General features: G+C 50.4%; 1 protein-coding gene and 1 long non-coding RNA gene across 4 annotated transcripts in view, besides 2 other annotated features; one reads left to right on the top strand and one right to left on the bottom strand.

Moving 5' to 3' along the window:
* The window catches only part of SP2-AS1 (SP2 antisense RNA 1), a 43,019-nt gene extending 38,914 nt beyond the window's left edge, over positions 1-4,105 (bottom strand). Inside the window, exon 1 of one of the 2 annotated variants that reach the window (NR_103857.1) lies at positions 4,048-4,105. This is a non-coding gene — a long non-coding RNA (SP2 antisense RNA 1). Of the gene's footprint in view, positions 1-4,036 lie in introns of both variants that reach the window. The other variant, NR_103856.1, reaches the window with a different exon arrangement.
* Positions 4,024-4,318: an enhancer, noted in NCBI's record as "tiled region #5948; K562 Activating DNase unmatched - State 1:Tss". NCBI's record gives its function as "activates a minimal TATA promoter and a strong SV40 promoter by Sharpr-MPRA in K562 cells {active_cell/tissue: K562}" and the evidence as "EXISTENCE:reporter gene assay evidence [ECO:0000049][PMID:27701403]".
* Positions 4,272-12,009, top strand: PNPO (pyridoxamine 5'-phosphate oxidase). 2 transcript variants are annotated; one of them, NM_018129.4, is made up of 7 exons: positions 4,272-4,514; positions 6,007-6,131; positions 7,317-7,416; positions 8,260-8,313; positions 8,562-8,690; positions 9,024-9,094; positions 9,315-12,009. In NM_018129.4, the coding sequence occupies exons 1-7, from the start codon at positions 4,377-4,379 to the stop codon at positions 9,481-9,483; spliced, it is 786 nt and encodes a 261-aa protein (NP_060599.1). In that variant the 5' UTR covers positions 4,272-4,376; the 3' UTR covers positions 9,484-12,009. The 2 variants fall into 2 exon arrangements, with proteins under 2 accessions (NP_060599.1, NP_001423234.1); NM_001436305.1 differs by lacking the exon at positions 8,562-8,690.
* Positions 12,750-12,979: an enhancer, noted in NCBI's record as "active region_12320". NCBI's record gives its function as "activates an Ori minimal core promoter by ATAC-STARR-seq in GM12878 lymphoblastoid cells {active_cell/tissue: GM12878}" and the evidence as "EXISTENCE:reporter gene assay evidence [ECO:0000049][PMID:35858748]".

Here is a 14,513-nt window from a genome sequence, read left to right on the forward strand (position 1 = left end):
TGTGGTGGCTCACGCCTATAATCCCAGCACTTTGGGAGGCCAAGGAGGGTGGATCACTTGAGGCCAGGAGTTCGAAACCAGCCTGGCCAACACAGTGAAACCCCCTCTCTACTAAAAATACAAAAAATTAGCCAGGTATGGTGGCAGACACCTGTAATCCCAGCTACTCGGGAAGCTGAGAAAGGAGAATTGCTTGAACCTGGGAGGCGGAGGTTGCAGTGAGCCCAGATTGCACCACTGCACTCCAGCCTGGGCAACAGAGTGAGACTCTGTCTCAAAAAAAAAAAAAAAAAAAAAAGGAAAAGCATTAGAAGAAAACAGGCAAGGCACAGTCCCCAAACCCACATGCAGACCGTTTTTTTTTTTTTTCTTTTGAGACTGAGTCTTGCTCTGTTGCCAATGCTGGAGTGCAGTGGCACGATCTCAGCTCACTGCAACCTCCGCCTCCCGGGTTCAAGCCATTCTCGTGCCTCAGCCTCCCAAGTAGCTGAGATTACAGGTGCCCGCCACCATGCCTGGCTAATTTTTGTATTTTTAGTACAGACAGGGTTTCACCATGTTGGCCAGGCTGGTCTCAAACTCCTGACCTCAAGTGATCCACCCACCTCGGCCTCCCAAAGTGCTGGGATTATAGGCATAAGCCACCACACCCGGCCATGCAGACTTTTTTGTTTCATCTTGAGAAACCAGTGTGCCTCTCTGTACAATAAAAATGTTACTATGTATTTTCTATTCATTTAAGACTTTCTCAAGAGAAGACTGAAACAGTAAAATAATTCCTTTCTCCCACTCAGAAAGTCCCTGCTCGTGGTTGCGTCAGTAGCAAAAGTAGCTAGCAGGCTTGTTTCCCTTCTGGTTGTGCACTGAGGGGCTGCTTTGTGACCCAGAAACCAAATCCAACTAAGCAGAAAAACATAACCCAAGTCTACTTATTATCCTCAAGACAAAGGGAAAAATACAAAAGGGCAATCAACTGCACACTTCTTTGCTAATCGCCAAGGGAAGGAGACGCTGTCAGAATCTAGCACTTTTTCTCCCCATCTGGTCTTTAAAAAGCAGGAACTAGACACTGGTTCACAGGCTAAAAAATATCACAGGATAAAATATCAGAATCATTGTGTCTAAAAGCCTGACCCTGGGCACCTGCATGATGACTCTGCAGCAAGGAGCACCTATCCCTGCCTGCTTGTTCAGCTTGTTTTCTCATCACCTTTGCTCCAGCAGTATTACATGTCTCCAGGTTCCCCCAAGTGCACCATGCCTTTACTCACAATGTTCCCTCTTGCTGGGACGCCTGTTCCATTGTCCATCTAGCGAAAACTTACTCATTAAGACATCAAATGTCCACTCCCTTTACAAAGCCTTTCCTGACTGTTTGATCCTCTTCTTTTTGCTCCTCTTTACTGTACAGAAACACCCGTTAAAATATCTCAGGAGGCTGAGGCAAGAGAATCTCTTGAACCCAGGAGGCGGAGGTTGCAGTGAGCCAACATTGTGCCACTGCACTCCAGACTGGGTGAAAGGGTGAGACTCTGTCTCAAAAAAAAAAAAAAAAAAAAATCTGCAACAACTCTTAAGCTCACAAATCTGCCTCCCCCTATAGACTACAAGCCCGGGTTGTCATCTTCATCTCAATATTCTCAGACCTGGTTCAGTGCCCGGTCCAAAGGAAGTATTTAACAAATGTCTACTGAATTAATACATAAATATGTATCTACTTCCACTATACTGAGCTGTTGGCTTTTAAGTACATAGATGATCTTAGTCTTGGTGTCCTAGAATCCAGGTCCAGGGTAGCAGCAGCCCAGGAGTGCTGAGTGTGAAGAAAAACCCCATGGCCAGGCACGGTGGCTCACGTCTGTAATCCCAGCACTTTGGGAGGCCGAAGTGGGTGGATCACTTGAGGTCAGGAGTTCCATACCAGCCTGGCCAACATGGCGAAACCCCATCTCTACTAAAATTACAAAAAATTAGCCAGGTGTGGTGGCACACGCCTGTAATCCCAGCTACTTGGGAGACTGAGGCAGGAGAATGGCTTGAACCCAGGAGGCAGAGGTTGCAGTGAGCCAAGATTGCGCCACTGCACTCCAGCCTGAGTGACAGAGGGAGACTCTGTCTCAAAAAAAAAAAAAAAAAAAACCCATGAACCAAACCCATCTGAGTTGAAGTGCACTCACTACTGCTTACACAGGTTCAACTGCAGGGGCTTAGGAGGGCAGGAGTACAGCAATGTTCTTATACAGAAAGACAACTTCGGCCAGGTGCGGTGGCTCACGCTTGTAATGCCAGCATTTGGGAGGCTGAGGCAGGCGGATCACAAGGTCAGGAGATCGAGACCATCCTGGTTAACGTGGTGAAACCCCATCTCTACTAAAAATACAAAAAATTAGCTGGGCGTGGTGGCGGGCGCCTGTAGTCCTAGCCACTTGGGAGGCTGAGGCAGGAGAATGGCGTGAACCCGGGAGGCAGAGCTTTCAGTGAGACGAGATTGCGCCACTGCACTCCAGCCTGGGCGACAGAGCAAGACTCCATCTCAAAAAAAAAAAAAAAAAAAAAAAAAAAGAAAGACAACTTCAACAGGAAAGTAAATCTACTCAACTTTCTCTCAATTATGCTGATGGAGGAAAATGATGGCAGCACAAAAAAATCCAACCAGTGGAGAATCCATAGACCAATATCATTAAGCCTTGAGACATGTATTATTTCTTTGCAGCAAAATTGTCTTCCAGATTCTATCTGGCTCAAGCTATGTACACATAAAGGATGACAGGTATCTAATGTAGGGCTTCATGAAGCTCAGCTGTAATGCAGACACCTGGCCAGGCCAGGAAGTTCCCCTTACCTGGCACAGTCCTGGGTGCCTGCCTAGATGGCTCTTGCAGTTCCCCTTCCTGATGCTGGTGGAAAGCAGGGCTACAGAGAGGTCTCGACCCAAGGCCGCCCCAGCCAGCTCAGAATTGGACTGGGCATGAGTGGGTTTCCCATTTTTCAGCCTTGCATCCACAGCCTGGAAAGGCTATGCACAGCCACCTGCTCAGTGTACTCTCAGTTGGCAATTGCTTGCATTGACCTAGGGGCTAGACTCCTACTACCTAGCATGGGCAAAATGTGGAAAAAGGGAAGCTTGACAAAGATTGGGGAGACCCTGGAGAAATGGGACATTGGCAGCCTTGCTATCTACCAGGACACTGGCTCCTATGAACTCCAGTGCACCATGGCAGGGGAAACCATGAGCAAAGGGAGTAAAATGCTCTGACCCTTGCTTAAATAAATGAGGCTGGAGGGAAGGGGTTTAAAACTAGAAGAGGTGGCGGGCGCGGTGGCTCACGCCTATAATCCCGGCACTTTGGGAGGCCAAGGCGGGTAGATCACTTGAGATCAGGAGTTTGAGACTAGCCTGGCCAACATGGTGAAACACCGTCTCTACTAAAAATACAAAACTTAGCCGGGCGTGGTGGCGGGCGCCTGTAATCCCAGCTACCCGGGAGGCTGAGGCAGAGAATTGCTTGAACCCGGGAGGTGGAGGTTGCAGTGAGCCGAGATCGCGCCACTGCACTCCAACCTGAGCGACAGAGCTAGTCTCCGTCTCAAACAAAACAAAACAAAACCAAAACTAGAAGAGGAAAACCACTCTGGTCTGGGATACCTTGGTCCCAAATTTCCTTCTTCCCCCTTCCCATTCAGCCATCTTCCTTCTCACCTCACCGTCTCTTCCTCACCCCACTGCACCTCCCCACTCGGGGCATGGTCCACAAGTCATTTCAACCTCTCCCACTCTCATGCCCTAATTTCTCCCCACAACCAGATTACCCTTTTCTCTATGTGTCCCCATCACCTTGCCTCAGAGTCTGGCCCCTAATTCCATTTTCCATTTTTCTTTTCCCATTCCACTAGTCTCCCTTCCCAGGGGGTACTTCCTGCCCTAAGCTCACCTACAGGCACCTACTATGGGCCAGCCACTTAATACTGACTACTCCCCTCAAGCCCCCGGGACACATCCTCCGCCCCGCCTGAGCTGCAAGAGATCCTCCTATACCTTTAACCAACCTCCACGTGCGTGTTAACCGCGGTGACAGCATTTCCTTGTCTCTCTGCTCCCGCCCCCAAAGGCGCTACCCATTGGCCGCTGGGTTCCTCTGTTCTCGCTCTAATTGGCCTCGTTACCGAAAAGCTCCAACCAATGACCTCTCCGTGTCTGTCTCCCTCCTCCGATCCTGGAAACTCATTGGCTCCGAGGACTTAGGACCTGTTAGCTTGGTTGGGCGACTGGCAAATCCTTCCTTCCCCGGGGTAGAAGTCCAGGGTGAGAAATTGGTTCCGAACTCAAAGGAACCCAGTGCCGGGCCACAGCCGGGTCACGTGGCCGGCGGCCCCCCATGACGTGCTGGCTGCGGGGCGTCACGGCGACGTTCGGGCGACCTGCCGAGTGGCCAGGCTACCTCAGTCACCTGTGTGGTCGCAGTGCTGCCATGGACCTGGGACCCATGCGCAAGAGTTACCGCGGGGACCGAGAGGTGCCGCCGCTAGGGCCAGGCCTCCTGCAGGGGCGGGGGAAAAGGGGTCCCCGGAGTCATCTACAGCGGGGAGGGGAGTAGTAGGAGCCCCTCGGGGCTTCTGGGGCCACCCGGTGGGGCAAGGAGGTTTGAGGATCACCCCCCGTGGGAAAAGGGGGCTTCAAAGACATCCCACCAGGGGAGGAGTTCCGGGGAAACGCAAATGAAGATGGGTTCAAAAGGCAGCCTTTCGTAATGGGTAAGAGCTCGAACTTTGGAGCCTGCCTGGGTTGGAATGTTTAATGTATCTGGGCCTCAGTTTCCTCATCTGGGAAGTGATAGTATCTGCCTCACGGGGATGTTATGGTCTAAGATGTTTGTAAAGTGCTTAGAACCCTGCTACTCGACAGGTAGCAAGGTCAAATAACTTGCTCAGTCCCACAGCTAGTGATGAATGAATCGGGGTTTCATGTGATGGATGTCAGGACTGTGCTGGGCCTCCCTCAAGGGCGGGGGAAGAGGGGTCCTCGGAGTCATCTACTGGGGGGAGGGGAGTAGGAGGAAACAGCCCCTCAGGGCTTCTGGGGCCACCCCCTGGGGCAAGGAGATTTGGGGGTCACCCAAACCTCCTTGTGCCAGGTGGGCATGGTCATGGGCCCCTCTTTAGGTGGGTACAGTGACAAACAGCTTACAAACTGTTTGACAAAAAAGTAAGTGGAATATGGGGGAAGGGGACTAGCTCGGGGAGGAGGGGAGGAGAAAGCTCTTAGCTTACTGCCTTCAGTACTTTCTGCTGACCACTGGGAAGTTCTTTTCCTTTTCGCTCCTCAGGAGGGGAACCAAGAGAACCTTTTAGGAATTGGGGTCCAGGGCCCTGGTTGCCAAATCTGGTTGCATGTGGGCATTTCTAGAAACGCTTGTTTAAAATGCAGTTTTTCCAGCCTGGGCAACATAGTGAGACCCTGTCTCTACAAAAAATTAAAATTAGTCGAGCATGTTGGAGCGTGCCTGTAATTCCAGCTACTTGGGAGGATGAGGTTGGAGGATTGCTTGAGCTCAGGAAGTTGAGACTGCAGTAAGCCGAGATCACACCACCGCACTCCAGCCTAGGTGACAGAGTGAGACCCTGTCTAAAATAAATAAATAAATAAATAAAAATGCAGTTTTTGATGAAGCCTCAGACCTGCTGAATGAGAAATTTTGGGGGTGGAGCCCAGAAAGTTTTTTTTATGCTCCCCAGGTGATTCTGATGCACAGACAGTTTTGACACCCATGACATGTAACCCTGATTTATCCATCACTAGCTGTGGGACAGCAAGTTGTCTGAGTTTTTATGCCTGTTTCCTCACCTGTAAAATGGGGCACAGAATCTTCTTACTGCATACTATTTCTTATTTTAAGGTCATTGTCATGAGGACTAAATGAGTTGATTTTTGAAAAGTGACTAGAACAGTGCCAGGTCCATAGTAAGCACTATATATGTTTATTAAATGAAATAAATCTCCTTTCCTAGGCATTTGAGGAGACTCATCTGACCTCCCTTGACCCAGTGAAACAGTTTGCTGCCTGGTTTGAGGAGGCTGTTCAGTGTCCTGACATAGGGGAAGCCAATGCCATGTGTCTGGCTACCTGCACCAGGTGGGCATGGCTGTGGGCCCCTCTTTGGGTGGATACATATGAACTAGGAAGCTTATGAAGCTCTCTACTCTGGATGCCAATTTTATGGTTCCAGCTCTGTTATTAACATGCTCTGTGGCTTTAGGCAAGATACTTGTCCTCTCTGGGCCTGTGTCCTTACCTATAAACCAAAGACCAGGCCACAAAATTACATTTCAGTGATAAAAATGCAGTGCCTTGTTCATTTCTGCCCTTGATACATCCACACACAACCCCTTGCCTCCCTCATCTCCCCATCTACCCAAGCCCCGTCTGCCATTCAGGAGCTACTTCTCCTGGTGAAGCTCTGTCTCTCTCTCGAAATCTAGCACAGTGCTTGACTATATCATTCCTTTGACAATCATATGCCCTTTGAGACATCACTTGTATTAGCCTGTTATTCAATTCTCCTCGATAAAGTGTAAGGCCTTGTAGCCAGTGCTCTTGTACTGTGCGAGTGGATATCTCCCAGAGCTCTGAGCAGAGGGGCTGATCTCATAGCACCACTGTGATCCCGAAGCATTGGATGATTGCATTATTGTTAGTCCCTGCCCTTAGGGTCTTATGAATTTGCTAGGGCTGTCTTAACAAAATACTGTAGACTGGATAGCTTAAACAACAGGAGTTTATTTCCTTATAGTTCTGGTGGCTGGAAGTCCAAGATCAAGGTGCCATCAGGGGTGGTTTCTGATGAGGCCTCTGCTTGGGGTTTGCAGACAGCTACTTTTTACCATGTCCTCACACTGCCTTTCGTGTGTGTGTGTGTGTGTGTGTGTGTGTGTGTGTGTTGTGGAGGGCAAGGGAGGTGGTTCTGAAGTGTCTCTTCTCTTACAGTGACACCAGTCCTACTGGATTAGGGCCCCACCCCTATGACCTTACTTAACCTTAATTACCTCCATAAGGTCCCCTTCTCCAAATACAGTCACATTGGGGTTTAAGGCTTTAACATAGGGGTTTGGGGTGACACAATTCAGCCCATAACAGGGCCCCAGGCTGTGGTGTCATACCTCTAGGACAAATCCCCAGGAGCACATGGGACGGGGTAGCCTGACAGCCCAATAAAGGGGGTGCAGCTGGAGGGGGTGCTGAGACATCCTTTGGGGAGAGGGACTATAGCCAGAACATTGAAGCAGACTCTGACCACAGTGCTCTGCTCTTTGCTCCTAGAGATGGAAAACCCTCTGCTCGCATGTTGCTGCTGAAGGGCTTCGGGAAAGATGGCTTCCGCTTCTTCACTAACTTCGAGAGTCGAAAAGGAAAAGAGCTGGTGGGTGAAAAGAGCTAGTAATCTTTCCCAGGGCCTGCAGGGTTTGGCTCTTGCTTCCTCAGTCACCTTCTTATGCCACCCCACCCCCCCAGTCTACTTGCTCTCTGTGTGCAGGTGCCCTCCTGCCATGAGGCCTTGGCACTTGCTGTGCTCTTTGCCATAAATGAATGAATGCACTTTCTAACCAGCCTCACCCCATCAGCCATGACCTGTTCCTTCAGATCTCAGCCCACATGTTACCTCCTCAGGAAGGCCTTCCTTGACTCTCACTCAGACTCAGCCCCTCATGCTGTTTGCTGCCATTATAACTTGCAACTTTCTTTTTTGTCTTCTTCTTCAGTTTGTAACTGAGCATTTGTTTGGGTGATTATGTAACTGATATTTGTCTCCTCTGCTCAACAGTAAGCTCTGTAGGAGTGGAGGCTGCTCTGTTTTATCTCTGCTGTATCCCCCGCACGTCTCCTGTTGTCAGACCCAGAGTGGGCACTTCGCGTGCATTCAATGAATGAATCCAAAATGAGTAAACCTCCCTGAGTCCATGCCAGCCAAGCATGCATTTCTCAAGACTCACAAATCTGTGGGTGAGAGAAATCACCCAGTCTCACTTTGGAGTCCGACTGGCTTAAACTTAGCTCCACCACTTCCTGCAGGAACTTGGGCACGTGACTTAGCCTGTCTCTGTGTCTGTGACAATAGGCCTACTTTTGAGGGTTTAAATGAGCTCTTACGGTGGGTGCATCTGCTGTGGGCCTGCGCACTACAGCTCTCCTGCCTTTTCCCTGCATGCCGGAGGCCTCCTCTCCCTGTCCTGATGGCTGGCTGTGGATTCTCTTTTACTTCTAGGACTCTAATCCCTTTGCTTCCCTTGTCTTCTACTGGGAGCCACTTAACCGTCAGGTGAGTGAATTTTCCCAGGACAGCCTGGGATGGGCTGGGTTGGCAGGGCCTGAGTTTATGGCTACGTCTAGCGAAGGTCCCCAGACTGGGCAAACATCCCAGCTGGGCACTCTGCCTCTAAAATAGCCCTCAGTTAGTTGGAGCCAAGAGTGGTGGGGCAGCCGATCGAACAGAGAGGAACGGGGCCTGTGCTGGTAGGGAGGGCAGGTGGCATTTAATGCCATTCACCCAGAGCCATCCCTGAGCAGGTGCGTGTGGAAGGCCCTGTGAAGAAACTGCCTGAGGAGGAGGCTGAGTGCTACTTCCACTCCCGCCCCAAGAGCAGCCAGATTGGGGCTGTGGTCAGCCACCAGAGTTCTGTGATCCCTGATCGGGAGGTGAGTGGAGCTCCGCTGTAGTCCTCCAGGTGGTGGAGGCTTTGGCTTATCCCCAGAAGCTGTCCCCAGGAGATGCCAGGAGATGTCCCCAGGAGATGTCCTCTCTCTCCAGCCCAGTGAAAACAGTGAAAAGGACAGTGAGAAGGGAAAGTGGGGGTAGGGAGAGGGGAAATAGGCCTCCTCTGTCCATCTGGCCATCCTGTTGACTGCTCCTGGAGGACAGAGGCCAGTCTGCTCTGCTCACCCATGTCCCCAGCACATATCCCCAGGAAGTCCTTGTTAATGAATCATTGACTGGGCCTGGCCCTTCTTCTAACTCTTCCCCCTGGACAGTATCTGAGAAAGAAAAATGAGGAACTGGAACAGCTCTACCAGGATCAAGAGGTGCCCAAGCCAAAATCCTGGTGAGTGACATCTGGTAGTCCTCTAGAAAGGGACACCAGGCCCCTGTGTTTACTTGAAGCCACCTGCCTGGGGAATCACAGATCTCCTCCTCCCTGGCCACCCTTGTCAGATGCATCCCAGCAACTTCCTTCAAGAGGCCCTGGGATGAGGGGTGAGGGTGGGAGAGTGACCTGGCTAGAAAACTCCACAGAGCACTGAAACCTCTGCTTCTCCTTATAGGGGTGGCTATGTCCTGTACCCTCAGGTGATGGAGTTCTGGCAAGGTCAAACCAACCGCCTGCATGACCGGATAGTCTTTCGGCGGGGCCTACCCACAGGAGATTCCCCTTTGGGGCCCATGACCCACCGCGGGGAGGAAGACTGGCTCTATGAGAGACTTGCACCTTAACTCTGGGACCTGCTGGCCCAGAGTGGAGCTAGGGCTAGGTGTCAAGAGAGGGTGTGGGATTGGGACCCAGGCCCTTCTTTCTAAACTCAACCCATTTCCCTCCCTACCCCTTATCTTCAGGACTCTTCAGAGCTAATCCTCTAAGTTCTCTGTACTCAGTTGGTTCTCAGTTAGCTGGTCAAGTGGAGTGTAATGGTGGCGTAGAGAATCACAAATGGAAAATAATTCCATAATTATTTTTTTGACCTTGCCTATGATTGATTAGGATAGCTCCCTCTAGGGGTAGCAGCCGGTGTGACTCCCTTTCTGGTGACAGACAGGGCCCCAGCAGCCCTGTCTGTTACCATGTGAGTCATACTGGCCAAAGCTTAGTCCTAGCATATGCACCTGAGCCAACCTGGCCAATCAGATTGTTTTGTCAATAATTTGAAATTTGAACTGGAGAGATCCAGAACCTTGGGAGTCATTAAAGCCAAGTCATTCATAGCAGCCAGGAAACAATAGGAACCAAAAGCCTCTGCCTGCTGCTATTGCAATTCCCAGGATCTCTCCTTCCCTGGATCCCTCCCTCCCAGGTCTGGGCTGTGCAGTTCCTCCCCCTGCCTTAAAACACCCCACTATCTCTGTAAAGTCTCTCTCTCTCTTTTTTTTTTTTTTACTTAATCTAGCTAGAATCTATTTCTGTTGATTACAACTTAACTAACTCATTTACGGATAGGACTTTTTTTTTTCTTTTTTTCTTTTTTCTTTTCTTTTTTTTTTTTGAGATGGAGTCTCACTCTGTCACCCAGGCTGGAGTGCAGTGGTGTGATCTTGGCTCACTGCAACCTCTGCCTCCCAGGTTCAAGCAATTCTCCTGCCTCAGCCTCCCAAGTAGCTGGGACTACAGGCACACGCCACCACACCCAACTAATTTTTGTATTTTTAGTAGAGATGGGGTTTCACCATGTTGGCCAGGATTGTCTCCATCTCTTGACCTTGTGATCCACCCACCTCAGCCTCCCAAAGTGCTGGGATTACAGGCATGAGCCACCACACCCAGCGAGACGGGGTTTCATTATGTTGGCCAGGCTGGTCTCCAACTCCTGACCTAAAGTGATCTGCCCGCCTTGGCCTCCCAAAGTGCTGGGATTACAGACATGAGCCACCACGCTTGGCCGGGATAGTATATTTTTATAGCACTTCCCCTACTGATTGCTGCCTTCTCTGTGGCTACAAGGGACCCACAGAATTACAGGGAAGTTACAGGGAAGCAGGTTTCATCTCAATATTGGGAGAGATTTCAAACAATCACACCTGCCTGAGAAGGAGTGGGCTGTCACTAGGAATTTTTATTCCCAGTCCGTCAGGAATTTTGTAGAAGGGCTTCATGTGCTGGTACCAATAGGACAGGAAGATTTTAATCAGCTTTACTATCTATGTTTTTTTATGGAAACTGTGTGTATGTATACATACATTTTCCAAAAAGAAAAATTAAATGATTATAGAGATTATGTTTTTCAGACTACTCACGTATCTGCTTTTCTTACTCCCCACCTCTGCTGATAATTCCTAGTTCATTGGTTTTTCCCCCACACTGGAATTACCTGGGGAGCTTAAAAAACCCTGATGCCTGGGTCCCACCCTCAGAGATGATTGAACCAGCCTGGCCAGCATGGCAAAACCCTGTCTCTACTATGATATGAATGCAGCCTGGGCACTGGGAAATTTAAAAACTCCCCAGATAATTCTGTGCAGCCAAGGTTGAGACCTCCTAGTCTAGAGCTTTGCTATACACAGGGTGGTCCACAAGCCAGGAGCATCAGCATCACTTGGCAGCGCCTTAGAGATTCAGACCCCAGACCCACTGAATCTGACCCTGCATTTTCACTAGACCCCAGGTGATCAGCTGCACTAGACTCAACCTCTAAACCAAGACCTCCCACCCTCACAGTCTATGATCCTTTAGTGACCCTCAGCTGAGTCCTGTGCTGAACTGTGTTTGTTCTCCTTGAGCACATGCCCGCTAACCAGGGACAGACTGGATGAGCAAGCAACCTGCTGGCTATGGAGAAGAGCCAGGCTGGGTAAATGTTTGCTGTGACTAAGCCAGGATCAAAGAACTGCCTGTTGCTTGCACTGGCTGGCACTGAGCTTGCCACTCTGTGAACTGTGCTTCCTTCCCCTGCATGGACCTGTGCCTCAGTCACTATTATCCGCAGGCCTTCTCCAAGGGCAGCCCTCTCCTTGTTTATCCCTCTTAAGCCTGCGTGCAGGAAGGCACATTAACCCTGTGGCCCCCTGCAGGCAGGAGGGTGTTGGGTGCCCTTACCTACCTTGCCCTTTTTCTTGTACCGTAGGCTGTGCCGTTTATGAGTAAGTGATGTGTGTCTGTGTGTGTGTCTAGAAGTGCTGCACTCACCTTGTGTTATTGGAGGTTGTGTAACCCCCTAGCTTTGAGCCTGGTCTCAGATGTTCCTTTTCCGTTCTCTGTCCAGCCGTTACCGCCCCCAGTCTGTAATAAAAGCCTATCAGCCGTGCACTTTATTGATGTTCAACCCGGCCTGGTCTCCCTCAACCCCCAAGGAGGGGACTTGGGGAATTTAAGCAACTTTCCTGTCCCCTCACTTCTCTGCACCTTGTAGGCAGTACGTCCAGTAGGGGGAGCCCGCCGCCCAAGGTCGGCCCCTTCCGGGCAGTGAAAGCAACTTCTAGCCGGCCTCCCCCTTCATCGGCTTGGGCCGCGTCCCAGTGAAACTGTGGTCGATAACCCGTAGCCTCTCCCGGTTGCCGCACATATTTGCGCTCTCGGTTCCTCCTCTTCCCCTGTTCTCATGAAAACTTGCAGCTGCCTCGCTCTGCTTCCCTGGGCATCCAGATCTCCCTTTGGCTTCTAGTACCTACCCCACATCCATCTGGCCACCCAGCTTAGAAACATATGTGGACTTTACCTAGAAGATGGAGCCGGGGTCAGTATGCAAGGGGCAGAGGGGCTGTGGATACTCTCACCCAGAGGGGTAATGGTGATACTGGAGGAGTTGGCAGTACAGTGCCAGTATTATCTAGAACCTTAGGTTGGTGGCCCAGGGGCCATCCTTATCCCCCACCTCAGGGAAACCGAGAATGGGCGGATGTGGGAGATACCTGTAGTCTAGGGTCTTAGGGGACACTCAGCTTCAAAGCTGGTTGGCTTTATCCATCTGCTTCCAGAGTTTGTCCAGCCCCCTCGAGTGATGCTCACCTCCCAGGATCCTAAGACCCAGACGTTGCTCCCTCCCCTCCCAACTTCCCCTTCTGCAGAAGGTGTCTGTGCTTTTCTTTGTTCTGAGCTTCAGTTTCCTGTCCCTGTAGCAGATGAGAATCAAGAGTGGAAGGTGGCTGTGTGGGACAGTGGTCACATGTACAAGCTGGCTCTGGCTTCAGTCCCAGCTGTACCAATGCCAGCGCCTGGCCCCCAGGGTGAGTGATTTAACCTCTAAGCCTCAGCCAACTTGTCTGAAAAATGGGGATAATGACAGCACCTGTCTCAGGTGATGATAGGATTAAATGAACAACCTTAGGGAGGACTTGTTCTAGGGGCTGCCTGCCTTAAGCACCCTATAAATGTTAGCTATTAACACTGGGCAGGGCTGCGGTGTAGGGAAAGTCTGAGATCCTCTGTGGAGGCCTCATGGATTGAGTAATTGGTGAGACCCTAGAAAGTTCTGTGTAGTGGGACGGGGTAGGGGAAAGAGGCTTTGGGTAAGGCAGCACCCCTGAGCCTGACTTCCATCCCTCCAGCTCCTGGTCTCCCTTACTCATCATTTGAGGTCCCCCTGGCTGGGACGAGGCACCTAACAAAGCCTCCCTTGTATAGGTCTGTTTGTTTCACTAATAAATTCCCTGAGCAACAGCTCCTGGGGTGGGGTGGCCCAGCAGCCTGCCAGGAGCTGACCTGGAAGCCGCAGGACCACATTGTTTAGTGGCCACCTTGGTCTCTCCCTGTATTTCTACCACGAGCTCCAGAGATTTGGCCAACATTTTTTTAGTTCCCAGCTCTTATGGCTTGAGAAAGAGCTGGACCTAACCTCATAAAGTGACAGCTTTCTCTCCTCTTTCTTATTTATTTATTTATTTATTTTTGAGACGGAGTTTTGCTCTTGTTGCCCAGGCTGGAGTGCAATAGAGCTATCTCGGCTCACCGCAACCTCGGCCTCCTGGGTTCAAGCAATTCTCCTGCCTCAGCCTTCCAAGTAGCTGGGATTACAGGTATGTGCCACCACACTTGGCTAATTTTGTATTTTTAGTAGAGACGGGGTTTCTCCATGTTGGCCAGGCTGGTCTTGAACTCCCAACCTCAGGTGATCTGCCTGCCTCAGCCTCCCAAAGTGCTGGGATTACAGGCATGAGCCACCGTGCCAAGCATCTCTTATTTATTAATTTTTTTTTTCCCCTAGAGATAAGACCTAGTTCTGTCACCCAGGTGGTAGTGCAGTGCCACAATCATGGCTCACTGTCGTCTTGAACTCCTGGACTCAAGCAACCCTCCCACCTCAGCCTCCCAAGTAGATAGGACTACAGGCATGTGCCACCACAGTCAGCTACTTTTTGTTTGTTGGTTGGTTTTTTTTTAGACATGGGGTCTCTCTATGTTGCCTAGGCTGGTCTCAAACTCCTGGGCTCAAGCAGTCCTCCCACCTCAGCCCCCAAAGTGCTAGGATTACAGGCCTGAGCCACTATACCCACCTTCTCCTTTTTCTTAAACCAAAGCTGTGGGGTATGGTGGAGTTCCTTATAAAGGAAGGGGGAAGGAAACCAGTATTAAACTGAGCACTTACTATGGGACCTCTCATAGGCCACTTAATACTGACCACTCCCTATGAGATAGGTATTATTTCAGCCCCCTTTTACAGAAGAGGAAACTGAGGCTCAGAGTACAAGCAAATGTTCCCAAGGTCACCCAGCTACTAAGGGGTAGAGCCCGAGTTTGAATCTTAATCCCAAACCAAACCACTGAAACTTTGGGGTCAATCACCAAAGGTCTGCCCTACTCTCTTAGAGCACCTGACGGG

This window comes from Homo sapiens, chromosome 17, assembly GCF_000001405.40.
Source record: "Homo sapiens chromosome 17, GRCh38.p14 Primary Assembly".
NCBI classification, from domain to species: Eukaryota; Metazoa; Chordata; class Mammalia; order Primates; family Hominidae; genus Homo; species Homo sapiens.